The sequence below is a fragment of the Homo sapiens genome, chromosome 19 (assembly GCF_000001405.40).
Source record: "Homo sapiens chromosome 19, GRCh38.p14 Primary Assembly".
In the NCBI taxonomy this organism is placed as follows: Eukaryota; Metazoa; Chordata; class Mammalia; order Primates; family Hominidae; genus Homo; species Homo sapiens.
Window position 1 is genome coordinate 54242859 of NC_000019.10, and position 24880 is coordinate 54267738.

The 24880-nt window shown below is 50.9% G+C and overlaps 1 protein-coding gene, 1 long non-coding RNA gene and 1 pseudogene across 5 annotated transcripts, besides 3 other annotated features; all 3 read right to left on the reverse strand.

Moving 5' to 3' along the window:
* Positions 1-534: 534 nt before the first annotated feature.
* Positions 535-5088, reverse strand: LOC107987463 (uncharacterized). The gene is made up of 3 exons (XR_007067341.1): positions 4360-5088; positions 3243-3422; positions 535-603 (listed from the first exon to the last, which is right to left on the reverse strand). It is a non-coding gene; the product is annotated as an uncharacterized LOC107987463 (long non-coding RNA).
* Positions 1007-1505: an enhancer, noted in NCBI's record as "H3K4me1 hESC enhancer chr19:54747703-54748204 (GRCh37/hg19 assembly coordinates)". NCBI's record gives its function as "activates a minimal SCP1, AML or CMV promoter by ChIP-STARR-seq in naive H9 embryonic stem cells {active_cell/tissue: H9 hESC(naive)}" and the evidence as "EXISTENCE:reporter gene assay evidence [ECO:0000049][PMID:30033119]".
* A 1474-nt stretch (positions 5089-6562) lies between the features above and the next one.
* Positions 6563-14415, reverse strand: LILRB5 (leukocyte immunoglobulin like receptor B5). Of its 4 annotated transcripts, none has more exons than NM_006840.5 (13): positions 14302-14415; positions 14103-14138; positions 13631-13915; positions 13185-13484; positions 12428-12724; positions 11877-12179; positions 11507-11557; positions 11160-11207; positions 10013-10129; positions 9628-9691; positions 9508-9545; positions 9196-9248; positions 6563-8074 (listed from the first exon to the last, which is right to left on the reverse strand). In NM_006840.5, exons 1-13 carry the CDS (start codon positions 14333-14335, stop codon positions 7928-7930), a joined length of 1773 nt encoding a protein of 590 aa, NP_006831.2. In that variant the 5' UTR covers positions 14336-14415; the 3' UTR covers positions 6563-7927. The 4 variants fall into 4 exon arrangements, with proteins under 4 accessions (NP_006831.2, NP_001074911.2, NP_001074912.2 ...); NM_001081442.3 differs by having other exon boundaries at positions 11160-11210; NM_001304457.3 differs by having other exon boundaries at positions 7610-8311; positions 11160-11210; positions 13185-13457.
* Positions 8636-9253: an enhancer, noted in NCBI's record as "H3K4me1 hESC enhancer chr19:54755357-54755974 (GRCh37/hg19 assembly coordinates)". NCBI's record gives its function as "activates a minimal SCP1, AML or CMV promoter by ChIP-STARR-seq in naive H9 embryonic stem cells {active_cell/tissue: H9 hESC(naive)}" and the evidence as "EXISTENCE:reporter gene assay evidence [ECO:0000049][PMID:30033119]".
* On the reverse strand, positions 21093-21195 carry RNU6-1307P (RNA, U6 small nuclear 1307, pseudogene; annotated as a pseudogene).
* Positions 23257-23551: a silencer, noted in NCBI's record as "tiled region #15373; HepG2 Repressive DNase unmatched - State 12:CtcfO, and K562 Repressive DNase unmatched - State 12:CtcfO". NCBI's record gives its function as "represses a minimal TATA promoter and a strong SV40 promoter by Sharpr-MPRA in HepG2 and K562 cells {active_cell/tissue: HepG2 | K562}" and the evidence as "EXISTENCE:reporter gene assay evidence [ECO:0000049][PMID:27701403]".

Here is a 24880-nt window from a genome sequence, read left to right on the forward strand (position 1 = left end):
TCATGGGGTTGTCTCATCCTCAGCCCACAGGAAGAGGAACTGCCACCCCAGGAACCTGGCTCTGATTTCCCCAGGGCTGAAGTGGGGGCAGGCACCAGGCTCTCTGCAGGCATTTCAGAGAGAAATGGGGTCTCCCTGCCCCCGGGCCACTGTCTGCCTGATTTATCTTTATCTCACTGAGAGCTAGGACACAGCAGCAAATAGAACCAGTGCCTTCTGGAGTCAGCCCCTTTGAGGCGAGGGTGACTGTGGGCTCATCCTCCCTCTCAGAGCCTCCCCATGGGGTCTCCCTCCCTCCTTCAGCCCGTCCATCAGCTCAGCGTTACGGGGTCCTTACCATGGCAGTCGTCTCTCCAGCCCTGGAGATGCTTCAGGGAAGACCCAGGTCCATGCTGCAGGCAGACTCAGATCAGCAGAGACGCACCTGACACCTGGCTGTGTAGTCCAGGCTGAGCTGCGTGTAGCAGTGAGCACAGAGGAGAAATGCAGCGTCTACCGTGGTGGCTCATGCCTGGAATCCCAGCACTTCAGGAGGCTGTGGCGGGTGATGGCTTGAGGCCAGGAGCTTCAGACAGTCCTGGGAAACAGACTGTGACCCTGTTTCTACAGAAAAGAAAAAAGTGAGCTGGGCATGGAGGCTCATGCCTGTGGTCCCAGCTACTCAGGAGGCTGAGGTGGGAGGACCACCTGGGCCCGGGAGGCGGAGGCTGCAGGGAGATATGATCACCCCTTGGCCTTCCAGCCTGGGCGACAGCGCAGGATCCTGTCTGAAAAGGAGAAATAGAGGGGATAAAGAGAAATATATATATATATATATATATGTTTCATTGTAATCTATAATCTGATTCTGGGGAAGGTGAGCTGATTTGTATTTAATTCCTGATTATCATCTAGGGTTTATGAGACTTTGGACATGAATGTCACCTCTGAGCCTGCTGTCGTGAACCCCACTCATCACAGTGGCTGTGGGGGTCAGTGGTGCCCAGGACATGGGAGGCTCAGCCATGGTGAATTTCCAGACCAGTTCAGACAGGAGGGTGGGGACGGGAGAGGATCCTGGTGCTGGGCTCCACAGTTGAGGAGGATGATTGACGCCCCCATTCAAGAGCCCACATTGGCTCCAAATACCATGAAATTCTTGTGATACGTCTGAAATATGCAGATCATCACAGCCACAGGCCGAGAAAGAGGAAGAACAGTTCCTCACATTGAGACGCATCCCCTTCCATGAGCAGAGTTCAATGCTGAGTGGCCACAGGTGTCTGGGACCACCGAGCGTCATTAGGGAGGAGGAGGCTCCCACCTCCATGTGGGACAGAAGAGGAACCCCACGTCCTCCCAGGCAGGGAGGGGTCAGGGCTCTGGGTGAGGCTGGAAGCGGTGGCTCCCCCTCCCCTGTGTGTGTGGACAGGCGCTGGGGGGTCTCTGCTCACTCACTGGAGGCCACGGTCAGCGCTCAGCCCCTCCCCTGTGTGTGAGAAACAGATTCGATCCACGGTGGTCAGACATGGGCGTCTGCCCCACAGGTGAGTGTGAGGCTGGCGTTGGTCCCATCCCTGCTGGGCACAATCTTGAGCTGACACTGAGTTTGGGGGAGTGGGGCAGGAGCAGCGGCAACAATCCCCTTCATCAGGCTGATGCCTGGACAGCCGTGGGAGAAACCCTTTATGAAAGGCCAGGTGCGTGGGAGGAGCTGTCCCACAGGAATGACAACCAAGATACGTGAGGAAAACACAGACAGTTGTTGAAATGCATTAGACAGACGTCGTGAAGGTGAAAAATAGTAAATTGAATTAATACCATCGAAAAGTAATTTAATAAATATATACACCTACTATGTAGCCATAAAGTGAAAAATTTGACCGGGCGTGGTAGCTCATGCCTGTAATCCCAGCACTTTGGGAGGCCGAGGTGGGCGGATGACCTGAGGTCAGGAGTTTGAGACCAGCGTGGCCAATATGGTGAAACCCTATCTCTCCTAAAAATACAAAAACAATTAGCTGGGTATGGTGGTGCACGCCTGTAATCCCAGCTACTCGGGAGGCTGAGGCAGGAGAATCTCTGGAACCCAGGAGGCGGACATTGCAGTGAGCTGAGATGGCACCACTGCACTCCAGCCTGGGCCACACAGCAAGACTCTGTCTCAAAAAAAAAAGAAAAAGAAAAAGAAAAAAAGAAAGTAAACAACTTCTAAAGCGATTCAAGCACCAGAAGGGTTCAAATGAAAATGAGACCAAAGGAAGTAAATAAAAAAGAGGAGGGAATTTGTGAGAACACATTTTAAAGGGTCCATTTTCAAGGCATGATATCCAAGTATTGGCAGCCAGTCTGCGGATGTAACAAACCGCACGGCTCATGCTCCTAGCAAATCACAATAAGTGAACAGAATGGCGGGGGGTTGTGGGGGAGGAGGCGGTCAGCCCATAAAAGGGAAAAAAATTTTGTTATTGGGAAATCGCAACTTAAGCGGGGAAGGGGACGGGGTACAACCTTATAAGGGGGATAATGAAACTCAGGCGAAGTCTGGGAAGATTGTAACCTCATAGTACTCGACCAGTGAGGAACTGGGGAAGGGATAGTTGAGTGCCAAGAGATAAATTACCTGCTGTGACTGCCCCGGCTATGCCTACCTAGCAGACATCCAATTTTGCAAGACCCTGTTAAAAGTCTCACTTTCAGGCGGGACATGGTGGCTCACGCCTGTAATCCCAGCACTTTGGGAGTCAAGGCGGGCGGATCACGAGGTCAGGAGATCGAGACCAGCCTGGCTAACACGGTGAAAACCGTCTCTACTAAAAATACAAAAAATTAGCCGGGCGTGGTGGCGGGCACCTGTAGTCCCAGCTGCTCGGGAGGCTGAGGCAGGAGAATGGCATGAACCCGGGAGGCGGAGCTTGCAGTGAGCCGAGATCGCGCCACTGCACTCCAGCCTGGGTGACAGAGCGAGACTCCATCTCAAAAAAAAAAAAAAAAAAAAATTCGCAGCAGGGTCTGCTGGGGCAAAGCAAGGGGTTCGTCTCCTGGTAAGTTTCCCTGGGACCTCTCAGTACCACCTCCCCCTGTCCTGCTCCCAGTGGGACTGCTGAGATCTAGGGAGCGGGTGTGATGTCCCTGAGGTTCCACAGTATGAAGTGAACCATGTTCCCCTGAGCCCCAGACCCTTCCCAGCCCCTTCCTGTTACTAGTGAAACTGCAGGGTCCCCATCTGCACCCCAGGTGCACCCCCTCTTCCTCTTACTCACTGAGGTTTTCTTCTTGGATGTCAGCAGCTGGGCTGGACCTGGGGGAGGACACGAGAGTGTGGTGTGGTGGAGTGTGGGAGTCTGGGGTCTTTGGGCAGAATTACCTCCTCAGCAGACCCCTGTTCTTGGGCTCTGGTCCCACGGCCCCTGCAGGGTGTTGGAAATCAGCCTCTCTCTGGGCTAGGTGAAGAAGGACAAAGTCTCAGCCCTGGGAACCTTAGAACCACCCACCCAGTACATGCGACTTTAGGGGAAAAAATGAAACTTGAAAACACACCCATATATATATATATATATATATATATTTTTTTTTTTTTTTGAGACAAGGTCTCGCTCTGTCGCCCAGGCTGGAGCACAGTGGTGCGATCCCAGCTCACTGCAGCCTTGACCTCATAGGGTCAAGTGATCCTCCTGCCTCAGCGTCTTGAGTAGCTGGGACCACGGGTGCACACCACCAAACCTGGCTTATTTGCATTTTTAATTTTTTTTGTAGAGATGGGGTCTCACCACATTGCCCAGAGTCCTCTGAAACTCCTGGGCTCAAGCCATCCACCTGCCTCAGCCTTCCAAAGTACTGCGATTACAGGCATAGTTGTTTTAAATACTGGATACACTTAAAAAGGCCCGAAGACGTTGGGCCGAATGGCTCATGCCTATAATCCCAGCACTTTGGAAGGCTGAGGCGGGTGGATTGCTTGAACTCAGGAGTTTGAGACCAGCCTCGGCAACATAGTGAGACCCCCCATCTCTCCCCCGCAAAAAAATAATTAGCCTGGCGTGGTGATAGGGGCCTGTAGTCCCAGCTACTCAGGAGGCTGAGGTAGGAGGATCATTGAGGATCTTGGGAGGTGGAGGTTGCAGCGAGCCGAGATCACACCACTGCACTCCAGCCTGGGTGACAGAGCCAGATCACGTCTCAAATAAAATAAAATAAAAAGCTCAAAGAATAAATTACTTGCACATACACTCATATTTATTCTCTTCTTTCTAGATTTTTCAGCTGGGACTTTCTGGAGCTGTTTTTCTAAGCTGACTTTCTTGTGTGTTTGGTTCCCCTTTGGTTGGTGCCCTGATCCCACCCTCGGTGGGCCCACAGGTTCCCCCAGTCCCTGCTCACCCAATGTCCTGTGTTTGCTCTGACGCCGACATTGGAGGAGGAGGACGAGCGGCAGGACAAAGGCCACTGAGACCCCGGTTACAACCCCCAGGTATCTTCCCAGACCTTGCGCGTGATGACGTCGGGAATGAGGATGACATCGCTGATGTGAGCACCTACTGTGTGCAGGCGCGTGCTGGGTCTTCATGAGCTCTAACCCTCACAGCAGTCGTGCAACGTGGGATTGCCAACCCCCCAACCCATTTCACAGATGCACAAACTGAGGCTCAGAGGGGGGAATCGCCTGCCCCAGGCCCCCCAGCCTGGAAGAAGCAGGTCTGGGAGGGGAACCTGGGACCTTGTGTTTTCCCCAGCTGTCCTCCTGCTGCCCCACCAGGTGGACACCTGCTTCCTGCTCTGGGTCTTCTCATCTGACAGCAGGGGCCTGTCTTAGTGTCTCCATCTGGGGCTGTGTCCTCCTTACAACCCTCCCTTCCCCAGCACAGCAGGGCCTGGGGGAGGGAGTGGGCTGTACAGGACGGACCCTGCATTGCTCTCACCCCCAGCCCAGCCAGGTCCATCTCCTACTCTGCCAATCCCTGACCTTCCCATGCAGAGCCTTTGACCACAGACTGAAGGGCTGCACTGTCGGCTTCTCGGCTTCTGAGGTTTTGGTACTCGGACTAGCTTCCTTGCTCCTCAGCTTACAGACAGTCTATTGTGGGACCTCACCTTGTGATCGTGTGGATCAATACTCCTTAATAAACTCCCCTTTATATATACATCTATCCTGTTAGTTCTGCCCCTCTAGAGAACCCTGACTAATACATGTTTCTGAAATACGCAGCCATAGAAGGAAATGAGAAATGAAACTTCCTGACACAGGCAGGAAACCTCAGGAAGCAGCGAGGTCAGAGCTGAGTTGGCTTCTGGTGACTTGCAATGTCAGGGAATCACTAAAAGGGAGGTTTCCGCCTCTATATGAGACAGAGGAGAACCCCAGGGCCCTCACAGTCAGGGAGGGGTTGGGGTTTTGGGTGAAAGTGGGAAGTTGTGGCTCCTCGTCCCCTGTGTTTGTGGATGGCACTGGGGTATCTCTGCTCATTGACTCAGGTTTATGGTCAGCCCTGAGCCTCCCCCTCTGTGTGTGTGAAATAGATTCATTGTAGAGTTGTCAGACATGAGGTTCACACTGGACCCTCCCCTGCTGGTTACAGGCCTGAGCAGACTCACAAGACCCGGGCAGGTGGTGCCGTCCTCCTCTTTTCAAGCCTAACGCCCAGTGCAGCCCTGGTAGAAACCCTCTCTGGCAGATGAGGCACTGGGAGATGAGTGTCCAAGAATGAGAAGAAAGAGGAATCATCCTAATGATAAAAAGTGCTATGACTGGCTGCCTGCGATGGCTCACGCCTATTTTCCCAGCGCTCTGGGAGGCCGAGGTGGGCAGATCGCTGGAGCCCAGGAGTTCGAGACCAGCCTGGGCAACATGGTGAAACCCCATCTCTACTAAAAAGACAAAAATGAACTGGGTGTGGTGGTGCACACCTGTAGTTCCAGCTACTTAGGAGCCTGAGGTCGAAGATCGCTTGAGTCTGGCAGGCGGAGGTTGCAGTGAACTGGGGTGGTGCGCCACTGCACTTTAGCCTGGGTGACAGAGCAAGAACCTGTCTCAAAAACAAACACAGGCTGGGCGTGGTGGCTCACGCCTGTAATCCCAGCACTTTGGGAGGCCGAGGCAGGCAGATCATGAGGTCAAGAGATCGAGACCATCCTGGCCACACGGTGAAACCCCATCTCTACTAAAAATACAAAAAAAAAAAAAAAAAAAGATTAGCTGGTTGTGGTGGCGGGCACCTGTAGTCCCAGCTACTCGGGAGGCTAAGGTAGGAGAGTTGCTTGAACTCAGGAGACAGAGGTTGCAGTGAGCTGAGATCACGCCACTGCACTCTAGCCTGGGTGACAGAGTGAGACTCCGTCTCAAAAAATAAATAAATAAATAAATAAAAACAAAAAACAAACCAAAAAATCAAACACAAAGTGCTATGGTTGACAATCCACACTCACTAATGAGGATTATCATGGTCAAAAGGAGTACTAGGAATGTGTGAGACCCATCTTAGGTTAAACATGTTTAAATATTTGAGAAATACAGAGGACATTGAATTTCTGAGGCAGGATTATATGATTTTTTTTTCTACAGCAGAATGAATATTATATAAAATAATTAGAAGACATAGAAAAATCAGATTTAATGAACACAATCAAAATACTCATTCCTTCGAGGACAAGACACAGTGAAGCACCAATTATGAAATTAGAAAACAAAACAGAATTTTTTTTAGAGTGTAGCATAGAAACTTTATAAATTGCAATTTAAAGTACTTGGGAGAATAGAATGAGGAGGGGGAATGTCCTATCTATTGTAGGCGTCAGAAAGAAGGAAGAGAAAACGATGTCTAGCAATAGCCCAAGAGGTGAGTAGCTGAACATTTTATAGAGATGAGGAGAGACTAACTAAGGACTAGGGCGCATCCCTTTAAAATTGAAATGTATGGGCTGGACGTGGTGGCTCACGCCTGTAAGCCCAGCACTTTGGGAGGCTGAGGCGGGCGGATCACCTGAGGTCGGGAGTTTGAGACCAGCCTGACCAACATGGAGAAACCCTGTCTCTACTAAAAATACAAAAATTAGCCGGGCGTGGTGGCAGGTGCCTGTAGTCCCAGTTACTCGGGAGACTGAGGCAGGAGAATCGCTTGAACCCGGGAGGCAGAGGTTGCAGTGAGCCGAGATCACTCCACTGTACTCCAGCCTGGTGATAGAGCGAGACTCCGTCTCAAAAAACAAAACAAAACAAAACAAAAACCCTCACACAAAAACCAAGACAAATCCCCTTGACACAAGTTTATCTGTCTAACAAACCTGCACATGTATCCCTGAACTTAAAAGTGAAAAAAATAAAGGCAATATGTGTCAGATTTGTGGTGGTGTCTGCTGTTTCACCCCCATATGGAAATGTGTGCCTGAACCCCGCTTTTTTCCTTGCTTATTGTGGCTAGGATTTGTGAATGTAATTCACATTCTCAAGAATGAGCTTTTTTGGCTTCATCGAGTTTTCACGTAGCCCTCATTAGTAACTCCTCTTGTTATTTTTGTCCCCTTCCTCACACCTTCATTTGGAATAATTTGTTGTTCTTTTTCTAAATTCTTTCTGTCATTGCCAAGGTCATTAATTACGTAGGTTTTATTCTTTTCTAATTCATTCGCTCATTTGTAGTTTTCCGATTTCATCATTTAATGTGTAATATTTACATTATCATTCCAAATTTATACCATGCTCTAATTTCTGTTTCAGTTTTCTCAGCTCATTGATTTATTGAGAAGTCTGTGGCTTCATTTCAAAAATGCAAGGATATTAGTCATCTTTGACTGCAGAATCTAGTGAGTCCCAGAGTTCCCAGGATGTCCTGGTGGTCTTTGTTAGGGGTCCAGGCTGGCTGGGGTTCATTGGTGTCCACTGGGGGCAGCTCCTGTGCCTTCTGGAGTCTCTGAGTCTCCTTCTGTTGAGTATGAGATCTGGGTCCCCCGTGGGCTAGTGGATGGCCAGGGGGGCGTAGATGCTGGGTTCAGCTGGAGGTTCCCTTTCCTGGGATGGAGGAGGCTCAGTTGCCTCCCGTCTGAGGGTCAAGCTGTGCAGCTGGGCGTAGGTCACATCCTGGGGGGCTTCAGATGCAGCAGCCTGCAGCGGGGGAGAGTGAGAGGGAAGGAACGTGGTGGGGGTGGGGGAGGCCTGGGGGCCTGGAGAGGAAAGGACTCTCTCAGTGTCCATCTGTCTGTCCTCTTCTGCCTGTCTGTCCTTTGTGTCCAGGAATTCCCCAGACAGTGGGGAAGGAGGAGAGGCCATTTCTCTCCTAGGTCTGGAGTGTTTCACCGGGGCATACGTCACTGCCTGGGGGTCTTCATCGTGTGGGCTCTGCTGGAGAGAGACAGTGGTGGGGGGTGTCCTTGAGTCCCCCTGACCTCCTGGAGTCAATTTTCCTCACTGTTCCCGGGGTGATCCGATTACATCCCTTTCCTGATGGAATCTCAGGGACGCCCTAAGGCCGTGGAGGGTCTGGCCGCTCCCTCCCTGTGGTTCTGGCCTCTGCTCCTCACTCTGACCTTGCCCATTTGGCTGCAGCCTCACGGGCCTTCCCGCAAGAGCTCGCTGCTGCCTCGGGGCCTTTGCACGGCTGTTTCCTCTGCCTGCAGGGGCTCGTCCATCAGAGGATCGTGTGCCCCACTCTGTCCAGGCTTCTCAGATGACAGCTGAGCAGACAGCCCTCCCCTTCCATTCAGACTGGCCCCACTGCCCCACACTCTCTGCCCTTTCCCTGGTTTATGTTCCTTACAGCACGTTGCACTCCTGGACACGATGCATTTATTTGCATTTTGTCTCCCACCATGAGGTGAGCTCAGGAGGCGGGGGCGGCTTTGCTCCCTGCTGTGTCTGCAGCTCCCATGGGGAGCCCCATCCACAGTGAGCTCCCTGGGAACACTCGCTGGTTGAATGAATGAAGGGGAGCCTGGGGGACCGGGTCGGTTCATTTATTCCTCATCCTCCTGAGGCCTGGGGAGAGCTCTAACAACCAGACGGCCAAACAGAGGATGAGGAGCAGGAAGGGGACCCGGGAGGAGGCCCACGAGGTCCCAGGACAGCAGAAGAGAGTGAGGTCGCAGCAGGCGGGAGGCAGCGTGCTGGACAAGGAGGGGTCCACCGTGACGATGCTGAGAGCCGGGGGAAGGAGGACAGAGAAGTCCTGCTGGATTAGATCTGGCACCAGGAGGCCTTTGGTGCCCGGGACAGGGGCGGGGCCTCACCGGAGCATCCATCTCCACCCCGTCCTTGGGCTGTGTGTCCTTCACGGCAGCATCTGCTGGGCCAGAGCAAGGGGTTCATCTCCTGGGAAGGTTCTCTGAGACTTCTCCGTCCTGCCAGCCCTTGCCCTGTTCCCACTAGGGTGGCTGAGATCCAGGGAGGGACTGTGATGTCCCTGAGGTCCCACAGTGTGGGTTCAGACCGCCTCCCCCTTGGCCCCAGACCCCCCCCAGCCTGTGCTCCTGCCCCCATTGCTACAGAAACTTTGGTGCTCCCTTGCCCACCCCAGGTGCCCTCCGCTTCTAGTCACTCACTGAGAATTTCCTCCTGGATGTCAGCAACTGGGCTGGCCCTGGGGGAGGACACGGGAGTGTGAGGGGCAGTGAGGGGGCTGTGCGGGTGGATGGGAGTCTTGGGTCTTCATGCAGAATTACCTCTTCTGCAGGCCCTGGTCCTTGGGCTCTGGCCCCGCAGCCCCTGCAGGACGGTAGAAATGGGCTGGACAGAGATGGACAGAGGGTCAGGCCTGGGAGAATTCGAACCAGCTGCCCTGCACACACAACTCGAGCGGAAAGAAGGAAACCTGGAGGCCCACTGGCACTGAGGCTTTAAATACGTCGTAAGTTTAAAGTAAAATCAGAAGAATCAAGCACTTCCACACATGCTCACATTTATTCTCTTCTTTCTCGATCGATTTTTCACCTGGGAATTTCTGGAGCAGTTTTTCTAAGCTGACTTTCCTTTGTGTTTGGTTTCCCTCTGGCTGGTGCCCCGAGCCCACCCTCGGTCGGCCCACGGGTTCCCCCATTCCCTACTCACCCGATGTCCTGTGTTTGCTCTGATGCCGATGTCGGAGGAGGAGGAAGAGGAGGAGGAACAGCAGCAGGACGAAGGCCACTGAGACCCCAGTCACAACCCCCAGGTGCCTTCCCAGACCTTGAGCGTGATGACGTTGGGAATGGGGATGACGTCATTGATGTGAGCACCTTCTGTGTGCAGGCGCGAGCTAGGTCTTTCCTTCATGAGCTCCAACCCTCACAGCAGTTGTGCAACATGGGATTGCCAACCCCCCAATTCACAGAGGAGCAAACTGAGGCTCAGAGAGGGGAATCGCCTGCCCCAGGCTCCTCAGCCTGGAAGAAGCAGGTCTGGGAAGGGAACCAGGGACTTTGTGTTTTCCCCAGCTGTCCTCCTGCTGCCCCACCAGGTGCACACCTGTTTCCTATTTGACAGGAGGGGCCTGTCCTAGTGTCTCCATCTGGGGCTGGTGTCCTTCTTAGGATCCTCCCTTCCCCAGCACAGCAGGGCCTGGGAGAGGGAGTGGGTTGTGCAGGACGGACCCTGCATTGCTCTCACTCCCAGCTCAGCCAGGTCCGTTTCCCACTCTGCCAAGTTCCCATACTCCCATGCAGAACCTGTCTGGATAGGGGCTCTGTGTGTATCTGGGAAGGGCTGAGGGTAGCAGGAGGACGGTGCCCCTGCCGAGCTGTGTACAGGGCCAGGTCCCATGATTTTGCTTACGCCTCGCAGCAGTTCTGTGAGCTGGATGGGACTGAGCCAGTTTACAGCTGCTGAAACTGAGTCAGAGTAGAAAGTTGACCTGCCTGGGCCCACGGTGGGATGCGGCAGAGCTGGGAAGTGAACCCAGGAGTCTGACCCGCAGCCCTTGTTCTCTGCACCTGAGCGGAGCCCCGGAGCTGCAGGGAAAGAGCCTGAATGCCCCAAACCACGGCCCTGCTCCCCTCCCCTGCCCCAGGTCACCGTCACTGCTGCCGGTGGGACAGGACAGTCCCCTGAAGAATCCCATCAATGCAGGCCTCTCTCCTTTACACTTGGAGAAACTGAGGCCCAGGCAGGGGAAGGGCTTGTGCACTTCACCATCTCCAGAGGAGCCTGAACCTACGACAGAACCCACCCCTGCCTCCCCTGGTCTCCGCCCACCTCCCACTCAGAGCCCCTCACTCACCACTCTGGGGATCCAACCCCGTGGGGGTGAGGGGCTGGTCCTCAGGGCCTGCTGGGTCAGGACGGGGAGGTGAGGGCTGGGGCTGCCCTGCTCCCCACATCAGCCCGGCTGCTCCTCCCCCAGGCTGGGCCCCAACACCCAACATCTCTCTCTGCCTCGACGCCCGCCCCCTCACCGGCCCAGCCTCAGAGCCCCGGGGAGCCTGTGGCCCCTCCTCTGGCTCTGCCCAGCTCCCTGGAGGGAAGCTCCCGCTTGAGTCTTTGAGGGGAATAGGATCCTCGGGGAGACTCAGGGCTGCCTGGGGGGAGACCACGCTCCCTCCGAGCCCAGAGGCCTCAGTGACTCACCAGGTGTGGGGGTGGAGCCTGTAGGTGAGAGGCTGGGATCCCCAGAGGGTCCTGGGAATAAGCACAGAAAGGGAGCGAGGCGCTTTGGTGCTGAGTGAGGAAACCCGTCCCTCCACCTGCCCGTGGCTTCTCTGGAAACTTTCTTCTGCTCACCTTTCACCATTTGCATCCCAGGAGATGGGGCCAAGTGTGGGCATGCCTGGGGAGCCCCCGTTGTCCTCCTCCCCTCTGAGGGGTGAGTCTCCCTCTGGCTGAGCCCCCCTCAAACCCTCCCCCCCGCACCGCGACTCCATCCCAGCCCAGAGCTCTCCTGGGGGCAGGGCCTGAGCTGAGCCTTTGAGCTTGGACAGGACAGGGTCAGGGCCCTCACCTGAGACCACGAGCTCCTGGGGGTAACTAGGGCTGGACAGCAGGTAGGGGTAGGACCTGATTGCGCTGTAGCATCGGTAGGTTCCACCCTGGGCTGAGGTCACAGGACTCATGGAGAATTCAGCCTGGTGTCTATAAGACTGGTACTTTGACTTTAGACACAGCGGGGGATGGGCTGCCCCCTCCTTGGTCAAAAAGAAAGTGTCTATCTGATGCCATGACTGACACAGCAGGGTCACGTTCTCTCCTGAGGCCACCTTGGGGCCCGGCTGCACCGAGAGGGCGGGTATGTCAGGGATCAGTCCTGGAGAGAAGAAGGATGGGTGAGGGGCTGCCCCACCTTGCTCTGAGCTGAGACCTCCCCAGGCCTCTCTAGGAGCCTCTGTCTCTGTTTTCTCTGAGTCTTCCCCTCCCCACCCATCCCCTGTCTCTGTCTGTCTCTCCCTCCCTTGGGACCACCCCCCCGCCTCATCCCGGCCATCACTAATTGGATTCCCCCGGCAGGACCTGTGCAGAGCCTGGGTCCCTGACTGAACCCGCTGGGCTCCTCACCTGCGATCAGGATGTCCAGGGGGTCGCTGGGGGCCGACCACCTAGGGGAGAGGTTGTGTGCACCGTAGCATCTGTACTGGCCCCCGTGGGAGCGGCTCACAGGGCCCAGGGTGAAGTTGGCCTGGGAGAGCCCAGCCTGGGGCTGCTGGCCAGAGCCCTGGACGAGGTCATGTTCCCCCTCCTTGTACAGAACGAATATGTCATAGCCGACATCAGAGCGACACTGCAGGGTCAGGCTGCCTCCGCGGGCCACGACAGAGCCCTGCGGGATCAGGAGGGAGGGCTTCCTAGACACGCCTGGAGGGAAAGAGGAATTGGGACTTGGAAGGCTGGTTCCTCCCCCGCCCCTTCCTTCTCCCGTCCTGGCGTCCTGGCCCTGCAGGTCTCACTGTCTCTCACGCTCTGTGTCTCGGATCCCGGGGCCTCCTTCTCACCTGGGTCTGTCTTGGAGTAGTTCCAGACCGATAGTGTCTCTCTGACTCCTGGCCACTGTCTGTCTGGTCTGTCCTCTCCTCATTGAGGGACAGGAAATTGCAGCAAATACACCCATTGCCTTCCTGAGTCGACCCCTTCCAGGTGAGGGTGACTCAGGCTCCTGTTTCCCCATCTGAGCCTCCCCGTGGGGTCTTCCTCACGCCTTCAGCCCATCCATCAACACATCCTTCTGGGGTCCTTGCCATGATCAGTCATCAACCAAACTCCCAACAACCTATCTGGTTCCCCAAAATTATATAAAGAAGTGTGGTGGCTTTTTCACCTGGGACCAGAATCTCCAGGAGGTCACTGGGGTTCGACCACACCTGAGGGTTTTTCCTGTAATAGTAATAGCATCTGAACCTCCACCTGCAGCTGGGGGTCACGGGACCCACAGGGAACAGGGCCTGGGATGGCCCTTTGGGGAGCTTCTGTGAGTACAGGGTCCTGGGGAGCTTCTGTTCTTCCTCAACAAGAACAAACGTGAGAAGTCCGTCCAGTGTATCACACTGGAGGGTCACATTTCCTCCTGAGGCCACCACAGGACTCGGCAGGGCTAAAAGAGTGGGTTCTGCATAGAATCCTAGCAGAGAAGGAGGCACGTCTTAAGTGGGGCTCCGACCTCCCACATCATCCCCAGGGCTGGGCTGTGAGAGGTAGACGTCCCTAAGAGCCGACCCTCTTCCTGAGGGCAGAGCCTGGGGCTGGGACCCCTGAGTGTCCTCTCACCTGTCGCCACCAGCTCCAGGGGGTCACTGGGCTCTGACCAGCCTGCAGGGGTCTCATAGTAGCAGCGGTATCGCCCTGCACTGTCATACACCGTGGATGGAATGTGGAACTTGGCCTTGGCTCCAGGCTCCAGTGGGTTCTGTCTCTTCCGGGCCCATGGGAGTCCCTCCTTATCCAGACGGTACTCCTCAGTCTCCAGGGGCCCCTGACACCAGAGGGTCACGGGCTTCCCCCGAGCTATCACAGAGGCTGGCTCAGCCCAGAGGGTGGGTTTGGGGAGGGTGCCTAGAATGGAATCAGAGGCTGGATCCCAAGACATCCCCATCCCTCAGATTCCAGCTCTCAGCCCCAGGACCCTCCAGACGTCCCCATCAGTCAGCCCAGAACAGCTATCTCCACCCCCAGCTGCCCGGGGTTGGGCCCTTGTCCCCAGTGAGAAGAAGGGACCTGGGACAGCTGGGGACAGACTCACCTGCCTGCACGCAGGTCCTGGGGCCCACACTCAGCCCTGGAAGAGAGTTCCCTGTGAGGGATTTGCCCCTGGAAGCCCCAGCAGTTCCTCTCCTCCCTCGGAGCCTCTGATAGACCAGATTCTCTGATAGACCAGAGCCTCGCTTTAGAGTGAGCTCCCTCCAAGACGGGGACCTTCCTTCCCCCTCTTCAAACCTCACCGAGGCAAATCAGGACTGAGAGGGTGAGGGTCATGGCGTCAGCTCCCACTGGACTCAGCTGTGCAGGCGGATGAGACCACGGTGCCTGGCAGGACACAAAAACACGCAGAGTGTGGACTGGAGGCTGGGTTCTCCCTGTCACAAGACTGTCCCATCGGAAGCCCCACAGGAAGGGGAACTGCCCTCCCCAAGAGCCTGGCTCTCATTTCCCCAGGGATGGGGCTGGGGTGAGCTCCAGGCTCTCTGCAGACATTTCAGACAGAAATGGGGTCTCCCTGAGCCCTAGCCGCTGTCGGCCTGACCTATACTCAGCTCACCAAGGGCTAGGGCAGAGCAACAAAACCCCTCCGCTGGGAATGAACCTCTAAGTCGTTCCTGCCTCCTCAGTGCCCCTTTGTCCTTGGCCGTCCCTCTGTGCCTCCAACCATGTTCAAGGTTTTCAGAACAATTACTCAGGTTTGTCATCTGATTCATGGGGTGGAGTGGGGAGCTGAATTTTCTTCCTAATTCCACCGATTATGTGACCTTGGACAGCAAAGTGGCTTGCTTGAGCCTTTCTCTTTTGGAACTTGTGGTCATGACCTCAGCTTCTCAGAGTGGATGTGGGGCTCAGTGGTGCCTGGGACATGGGAGGGGGCTTGGCCATGGTGAATTTCCAGACCAGATTAAGACAGGAGTGGTTGGGGTGTGAGAGGATCCTGGCATTGAGCTCCGTAGTAGAGGAGGATGATTGATGCCCCAACTCAAGAGCCCACATCTGCTCCAAATACCAAGAAATGCTCCTTATGTTTGAAGTTCCCGGCACGGTGGCCCACCCCTGTAATCTGAGCACCTAGGGAGGCTGAGGATGGAGGATCCCTTGAGCTCAGAAGTTCAAGACCAGCTTGGGGAACATAGTGAGACCCCGTCTCTGCATATAACAAAGAAGAAATAATCAGGTATGTTTGTGCACGACTGCAGTCCCAACTATTTGGGACACTGAGGTGGGAAGATTGCTTGAGCCTGGGTGGTCCAGGCTGTAGTGAGGTATGATCATAGCACTGCACTCCAGCCTGGGTGAGAGAGCACGACCCTGTCTCAAAACATACATATATATATATATATATATATATATATATACACACACACACACATACACACATCTGAAATATGTAGATTATACATCCGAAATATGTAGATTATGAAAGTTTTGTGCAGAAAAAGAAATGAAAAGTTCTTTAATTTGAGAAGGTTGCACATCAAAGAACAAACTTGAAAGCTGACAGCCTGCTTGTGTCTAAGACTGTCCCAGGGTCATTAGGGAGGAAATTTCCACTTCTGTGTGGGACAGAAGAGGAACCCCAGGTCCTCATGGAAAGGGAGGGGGTAGGGGCTCCAGATGAAGATGAAAAGCTGTGGCCCGGCCCGGCGCGGTGGCTCACGCCTATAATCCCAGCACTTTGGGAGGCTGAGATGGGCAGATCACGAGGTCAGGAGATCGAGACCATCCTGGCTAACACGGTGAAAACCCGTCTCTACTTAAAAAAAAAAAAATAGAAAAAATTAAGCGGGCGTGGTGGCGGGCGCCTGTAGTCCCGGCTACTTGGGAGGCTGAGGCAGGAAAATGGTGTGAACCTGGGAGGCAGAGCTTGCAGTGAGCTGAGATCGCGCCACTGCACTCTAGCCTGGGGGACAGAGTGAGACTCCGTCTCAAAAAAAGAAAAAAAAAAAAGGAAAAGAAAAGCTGTGGTTCACCCTTGCTCGTGCTTGTGGACAGGAGCTGGGATATCTCTGCCCACTGACTGAAGTCCATGATCAGCATGGGGCCACCTCTCCCGTTTTTGTGTTTAACAGATTCCGCCGCCGTGCGTGGTGCCTCACGCCTGTAATCCCAGCACTTTGGGAGGCTGAGGCGGGCGGATCACCTGAGGTCGGGAGTTTGAGACCAGCCTGACCAACATGGAGAAACCCCGTTTCTACTAAAAATACAAAAAAATTAGCTGGGCGTGGTGGTGCATGCCTGTAATCCCAGCTACTTAGGAGGCTGAGGCAGGAGAATTGCTTGAACCCGGGAGGCGGAGGTTGTGGTGAGACGAGATCAAGCCATTGCACTCCAGCCTGGGTGACAAGAGTGAAACTCCATCTCAAAATAATAATAATAATAATAATAAATAAATAAATAAATAAAATCCTTGAAGTCCACCCGGCGTTCTATTGCACTGCAGCTGACCTGGCACTCAAGCCACAAGATACTGTCCTTCCTACTCATCCCTCCCCTTTCTTAAGGCAAAGGAGCCTCATGCCATGACCACTGCCACAACAGGCTTACAGGGAGAACTGCCAGTGTTCTCTTAAGCCCTAAGGGATCTTCAGTCAGCTTGTGGTGAAGGCTTCCTGGCCTGCTATTCATCCGTCATGACACTGGGCTCTGCCCAGGCCCAGGGCAGGTCCAGAAATGATCTCTAAGAGCAAAGTCCTTGAATTGAGGACCTGAGAGCCTACTTGGCACTCTATCCCCTGTTGTTGAGCTGGTACCTAAGGTGCAATACAAAGTCCCTTTTACTTTTTCTTCCACTTTTCTCACCCCACAGTCAACATGGCTGGGAAGGTGCTGAGTCTCACTTGAAGCCAGCAAGTCTCAGAGTCTCACCTAAGGCCCACGACATAGTACCTGTATATTGCTGCTGGTTATTCAGGGCCTGAGAGCTCTTCAGTTAGCAAGTGATGAATTCTGCCAGGACTAAATCCTTCCCCACAAGGCAGCAATTTCCCTTCTGGCCTAGGGTATGTGGAAAAATGTTGTCCAGGAGCTAGCATCTGGGATGGGGACCTCAGGACTCTGCCTGTTGCCCTATCTTACTGTGGCTGAGTGGGTATCCAAGATAAAAGACAAAGTCCTCTTTATTCTTCCCTCTCCTCTCTTCAATCAGAAGGAAGGAATCACTTTTGTTGCTACAAGTTGTGCTGCCTTGGGTAGTGGGAAGGATGAAACAAGTACACCCTTAGCTACGTTTGCTGATTTCTCTAAATTCACTGGCTCCAAACTCAGCACAGCACTAGGATTTTCCCAGGAATCACAGTACTTGTGGCCTAGACTCTTTCAAGCTTGTTTAAGACCCCAGACCAGGCGCAGTCACTCACACCTGTAATCTCAGCACTTTGGGAGGCTGAGGCGGGCAGATCATGAGGTCAGGAGTTTGAGACCAGCCTGGCCAATATGGCCAAATCCCATCTCTACTAAAAATACAAAAATTAACTGGGCATGGTGGCACGTGCCTGTAGTCCCAGCTACTTGGGAGGCTGAGGCAGTAGAATCGCTTGAATCTGGGAGGCAGGGGTTGCAGTGAGCCGAGATTGCACCACTGCACTCCAGCCTGGGATGACAGAGCGAGACTCCATCTAAAACCAAAACAAAACAAAAAAACAAACCCAGAGCACTTTAGCCTGAGGTCTCAGGTGGGACTTGCTGAATCTCAAGTTCCAACTGATTTTCTGGGCAGTTCCCCTTTGGGTAGAGCTCATCAAATGCTTTCTCCATGAACGGGCATCAGTTGCAATCAGCCCAGTGTGGCTTTCCAGTGTGACAGGGCAGCATTGAGTTCAGTCCTGCCTTCTCCCTTCCCCAAGCACACAGTCGCTGCTTGGGTGACTCCAGCCTGGGTGACAGAGCGAGACTCTGTCTCAAAAAAAAAAAAAAAAGAATGCTGAAAATATACCCTAATATCTTTAATATCTTCTGACTTTTAGGGTTATGCTGAAAGGTTCACTGTTAGCCTGATGAGGTACGTCTTTTGGATGACTGGCCTATTCTCTCTAGCTGCCATGAATAATTTTCTTTCACGTTGATCTTGGAGAAGTTGATGAGTATGTTGTTTGTGGATGGTTTTGTTGTATAGTATCTCACTGGGGTGTTCTGAGTTTCCTAAATGTGAATGTTGGCTCTCTAGTGCGGTTGGGGAAATTTTTATTGATAATATTCTCAAATATGTTTCTCAAGTTGCTTGCTTCCTTTCTTACTCAGGGATGCCAATGGGTCATAGGTTTTGTCTCTTTCCATAATCCCATAATTCTCAGAGGTTTTGTTCATTCTTTTAAATTCTATTTTTTTTATTTTTGTCTGACTGCGTTGATTCACAGAAGCAGTCTTTTTTAATTTTGTTTTTATTTTTGTTTTCTGAGATGGAGTTTCGCTCTTGTTGCCCAGGCTGGAGTGCAATGGCACAATCTTGACTCACTGCAACCTCCACCTCATGGGTTCAAGCAATTCTCCTGCCTCAGCCTCCCTAGTAACTGGGATTACAGGCATGCACCACCACGTCCGGCAAATTTTGTATTTTTAGTAGAGATGGGGTTTCACCATGTTGGTCAGGTTGGTCTCGAACTCCTGACCTCAGTTGATCCGCCCGCCTCAGCTTCCCGAAGTGCTGGGATTACAGGCGTGAGTCACCACGCCTGGCCATAGAAGCAGTCTTTGAGCTCTGAGATTTTCTTCTCACCTTGGTCTATTTTGCCGTTACTACTTTTTATTATATTATGCAATTTTTGTAATGAGTTTTTCAGCTCTATAAAATCAGTTTCTTTCTTTCTTAAAATGTCTATTTCATCTTCCACCTCTGGTGTCATTTTACTGGGTTCCTTATATCCCTTGGATTGGGTTTCAACTTTCTTCTGAACCTCAGTGATCTTAGTTTGGCATCCAGATTCTGAATTCTATGTCTGCCATTTTAGCCATTTCATTAAAAATCACAGGATGGCCACGTAATAAATGAAAGTAGCACTGCACCTCTATCACCCCATCCTTCAGTCAGGATCAGCTTGGAATAAAGAGGGACTTCTCCTTGCTGGAAAAAGCTGAGAAAAAGACCTAGCAGCTTCCATCAACACTTTGGACACCTGTAGATCTCACCATTGGAGATTCCCTTTCACAGACACTAAGCACAGCTGACGGAGCTACCCAGATTCCACACAGCTGCACTCACCCAGGAGAAAAGACTGACACTGTGCCCCACTGTCCACGGCCATCACGGCTCTGGCACTATGCCATTGTGGAATGGGATCTACTTCTGGATCTCTGGGGGACACGTAGCCGCAGCATCCTTTCACTGCTGAGGGATTGTCACTGCTGAGCCAGCCTTGCCTGGTGGCCTGCCATCCCCAGGCTGAGCTGTTGCTCTACACTACCCTGTCGTGCCAAGCTGCCTAGAGCCACTCGATCCACCTTTCCCAGTGGCAGATGCATCCTGACCCTCAGGGACCGAGCTGAAGTGGAAACGGTGCCTTGGGTGTTCACAAGAGTGATGGCCTGTGCCTGCGCTAGTGTGACACGCTGTGTATTAGGGTTCTCTAGAGGGACACAACTAATGGCGTATATATGTGTGTGTGTGTGTGTGTAAAATCGTATCTGGTGTATATATATGTGTGTATATATACACATGTCAAAAATATATATGTATATGTGTGTGTATATATGTGTGTGTATATATGTGTGTGTATATGTGTGTGTATATGTGTGTGTATATATGTGTGTGCATATATGTTTGTGTGTATATATATGTGTGTGTATATGTGTGTGTATATATGTGTGTGTATATATGTTTGTGTGTATATATATGTGTGTGTATATATATGTTTGTTTATATATATGTGTGTATATATATGTGTGTATATATATAAAATCATATCTGGGGTATATATATGTGTGTATATATACACATATCAAAAAATATATATGTATATATGTGTGTATATATATGTGTATGTATATATGTGTGTGTATATATGTGTGTATATATATGTGTGTGTATATATGTTTGTGTGTATATATATGTGTATGTATATATGTGTATGTATATATGTGTGTGTATATATGTGTGTGTATATATATGTGTGTGTATATATATGTTTGTGTGTATATATGTGTGTATATATATGTTTCTGTGTATATATATGTGTGTATATATATGTTTGTGTGTATATATATATAATCGTATCTGGTGTATATATATGTACACATATCAAAAAATATATGTGTGTGTACATATATGTGTGTATATATATGTGTGTGTATATATATGTGTGTACATATATGTTTGTGTGTATATATGTGTGTGTATATGTGTGTATATATATACCCTACATATATATACCATACATATATATGTATATACACCATATCTATATGGGTGTTTATTAAGTATTAACACACTATTATACAAAAATTAGCCTGGTGTGTGTGTGTGTGTATACATATATATATATAAAATCATATATGTGTGTATATATATGCATGTGTGTATATATATGTGTGTGTATATATATGTGTGTATATATACACATACATATATATGTATATACACCATATATATATGTGTGTGTGTATATATATATATATACGAGTGTTTATTAAGTATTAACTCACACTATTATACAAAAATTAGCCCAGTGTGGTGGTGCACGCCTGTAGTCCCAGCTACTCAGGAGGCTGAGGCAGGAGAATCAGTTGAACCCGGCAGACGGAGGTTGCAGTGAGCCGAGATTGCGCCACTGCACTCCAGCCTGGTGACGGAGTGAGACTCCATCTCAAAAATTGGACTCTAGCCTGGGCAACAAGAGCAAAACTCTGCCTGTCTCAAAAAAAAAAAAAAAAAAAAAAAAGACATGATCCAGGCAACATCGATGGGGCATCACCAGGGTCTGTCCTGTCTGTTGCAGTCCACACTTTGCCCTGCTCATAGCCCCATGAACTTCATGTTCATGTCTTTTCACACTATAACTTCTTCCAGGTCTTTGCTGGACACATTAAAAAAATATATATATATATAAAATGCTTCATGAAATTTGTTAATATCCTTGTGCAGCTGCCATGCTGATCTTCTCTGTATCATTCCGATTTTGGTATATGTGCTGCCAAAGCAACAACACACTGGACACATTTATCTACAAATGAGGCAAACAAAGCATATGGGTGTGAATGGGGAGAAGTACAGTGTTCTCTGTTGTAATTGACCCCGAGGTCATCCTTTATATTTACCAGCTTTGCTGTCTATCACCCTCTCTAGGTTCTGCTTACCTTCTGCCAGAGTTCGCATGAGAAACTCTACTTGTCTCAACTATCGGCCCAATGAAATAAACATAAATTTCAACCTTGAGGCATCTGAGCACCTGATTATTGTGCCTGTTTCAGGCTTTCTTGTGGGAGTTGCCCATTGTGTTAGTTTCTTGGAGGCTGATATAACAAATTATCACAAAGTATTGAATAAAAAGAAGATAAACTTATTCTCTCAGAGTTCTGCAGGCCAGAAATAAAAAATCAAAATGTTCATATAATTTCTTCTTTCTAGAGGCTCTGAAGAAGAAACTTCTGTGCTTTTTCCTTCTTTCTTTCTTTCTTTTTTTTTTTTTTAGATGGAATCTCGCTCTGTCTCCCAGGCTGGACTGCAGTAGCGCGATCTCGGCTCACTGCAAGCTCCGCCTCCCGGGTTCATGCCATTCTCCTGCCTCAGCCTCCCCAGTAGCTGGGACTACAGGTGCCCGCCACCACACCCGGATAATTTTTTTGTATTTTTAGTAGAGACGGGGTTTCACCATGTTAGCCAGGATGGTCTCGATCTCCTGACCTCATGATCTGCCCGCCTCGGCCTCCCAAAGTGCTGGGATTACAGGCATGAGCCACCACGCCCGGCCACTTTTGTGCCTTTTTCTTAGACTTTGGTCCTTGCTGGCATTTCTTGGCATTCCTTGGTTTACAGACTTCTCATTCTAATCTCTGCCTCCATCTTCACATGGCATCCTATTCTTCTCTGTGTGTCTTCTTCATGTCTTATAAAGATGTGAGCAATATTGGATTTAGATCCTGCCCGAAGCCAGCATGACCACATCTTAACTAATTATACCTGCAAAGATCCTATTTCCAAATAAGTTCATATTCACAGCTACGGGAGGTTAGGATGTCAACATACCTTTTTGGAGACACAGTGCAAACCCCAACCCCAGTCATGGTTACCTCCAGCTATGGAGAATTCATCACTGCCACAGTGAATTATCTAAGCTGCCCAACCACCCTCTCTTCACCAAATCCTCCTCCTCATCGTTAAAGAAAATTACCCAGGCCAGTATGATATCTTTCTCCTTACCTGCTGATGTACTGTAATGAGGAAACCCAAGGAAAACCAGCTACATCATCATTTTAGGTACAGAGTAATTTTTGTGTTGTTCCCTGGTAGTGGTTTCTTACCAGGCAGATCTTCTAACCCAGGGTCACCTAAAAGTGCAGTCACAGGATGTGCACATCTCCCAAGTGTGTCATCTGTAAAGTTAGTGATAGATGCTGTTCATTAAACTCTCACTTTACTCCCAAGCCCATGCATTCTACCTGTCAAAAGACATACCATGATTTATTGTTTTATTTATTTTTTATTATTTTTTATTTTTTTGACGGAGTTTTGCCCTTGTTGCCCAGGCTGGAGTGCAATGGTGCAATCTTGGCTCACTGCAACCTCCGCCTCCCGGGTTCAGGCGATTCTCCTGCCTCAGCCTCCCAAGTAGCTGGGATTACAGGCGAGCAGCACCACGCCTGGCTAATTTTTGTATTTTTAATAGAGATGGCGTTTCACCATGTTGATCGGGCTGGTCTCGAACTCCTGAACTCAGGTGATCCACCTGCCCTGGCCTCCCAAAATGCTGGGATTACAGGCGTGAGCCACCGCACCTGGTCCATTTATTGTCTTTATAGCTATATCTGTATGTATATCATCTACAGCTTTCTGTATGCTTATTTACAGCTACTGTAACAGAACCCCCAAACTGCAGAGTCTCATTCACAAACTGTTCAATACATCCAATTTCAAGAGGCCATTTCAATGTTCTTTCAGTCCCAGTAAAACCAAACCACTGCATAGTACATATCTCAGGTCATTCCCAGAATATCACGTGGCCATGTTCTCATTCCCTCCACGGATTTTGTGGGCATCTGGATTCCCATTCTGAGAATAAGTCATGGGTTATTTCGTTTAAACAAGTCAGACATTCTGAGTGCTCACAGACCCCTGCGAGGAGCTCCGTCAAACCCATTTTCAGCACAAGCATCCTTCAGACTAAGGAAGGTTTGCTGCCCCCTCGTGGGTGGAATGTGTTCCATGGCATCAAGTTACTACCAGGCATCACATCCAGACCTCTCTGCTGGTCACAGGTGAGACTTTCAGCTACAGTGGTGGCTACGTGGTCCTTGGTGAGAGGGAGTCACTGGTGTTGGGTTCATGCATGTCCTCCTTTCTTGCTCCATGGCTATCCCATTCACGGGCCCCTCCTGCTTGCATTGGGCCTGCTGACCCCACAGCTGGATGGATTCCACTGCATCAATTCTGTACTCCACCTGGTGCCTCCCCCAGCTGTGGACTGCTCTTGCTTGCTTCTCAGGGATAGGCTCATGGTAGGGAGTATAAATTTCTCCTGTCCTCACCCAGCCTCAGTCTTGGACAATTTCTATATGAGTGGGCCTTGAGGGTGGAGCTTGCTCAGTGTTTGTGTCCTTCTTCCCCTTGGCAGCTGGATTGTACTTGGTAGCTTTGGTTGACTTGGGCAGGAATTTCCTGTCCCTTCCCTGACATTTGTATATCTGGGATTATGGTTTCAGGAATTTTCTGCAGTACTCCTAGGGATAGAGGGACTTTTAAATCTACCTTCTTATATCCACAATGGGTTTTTACCTGGGGCCTGAGATTGGCTGGTTTTTCTGAACCTCTCTCAATGACTTCAGTCTTTTTCTACACATGGGAGAAGTATCTGGGCAGGGGGTGAGATTTCAGGCCACACACTGTGGAAGGTAATCATGTCTGATCACAAATTTTGGGTCTCCACCTTACTTCCAATCTATGTTGTGAATGCCCAGTTGAGACCCACGGAAAAGAGCTCATGGGTGAGTGTGAAGTGCTTCTCTGTCTTAAGTTCCCAGAGATCCTTGCCTCTTGGAGGCCAGCAAACACTAACTCTTGAGGAATTCATGACAATATCATCTGATTCCTCCTTCCCAGCTTGTATGGCAGTCTCCCACCCTCATGTGTTCTGCCTTTGTAGAGCCTGTCATGGCATCCTACTCCTCCTTGGAATTCAGGTTACTCAGTTGCTCCCAGAGCTCGGATTTCTGATGGTCTCAGGTGAAATCTACATTATGGAGTTGATCTGAGTTTTACTCATGGTTAGGATTGCAGAGAAGCTCTTTTTTTGGAGTGGGGGAGGGAGGGGGAGGGATGGAGTTTCGCTTTTGTTGCCCAGGCTGGAGTGCAATGGCGTGTTCTTGGCTCACTACAACCTCTGCCTCCTGGGTTCAAGTGATTCTCCTGCCTCAGCCTCCCCAGTAGCTGGGATTACGGGCATGTGCCACCATGCCCAGCTTTTTTTTTGTATTTTTAGTAGAGAGAGGGTTTCACTATGTTTTCCAGGCTCGTCTCAAACTCCTGACCTCAGGCAATCCACCCACCTCAGCCTCCCAAAATGCTGGGATTACAGGTGTGAGCCACCGCACCCAGCTAGTGAAACTCTTTCCAGCTCCCCAAACCCTGGGCAGAAGCCGGGATATGAATTATTTATTTACTTACTGAGTTAT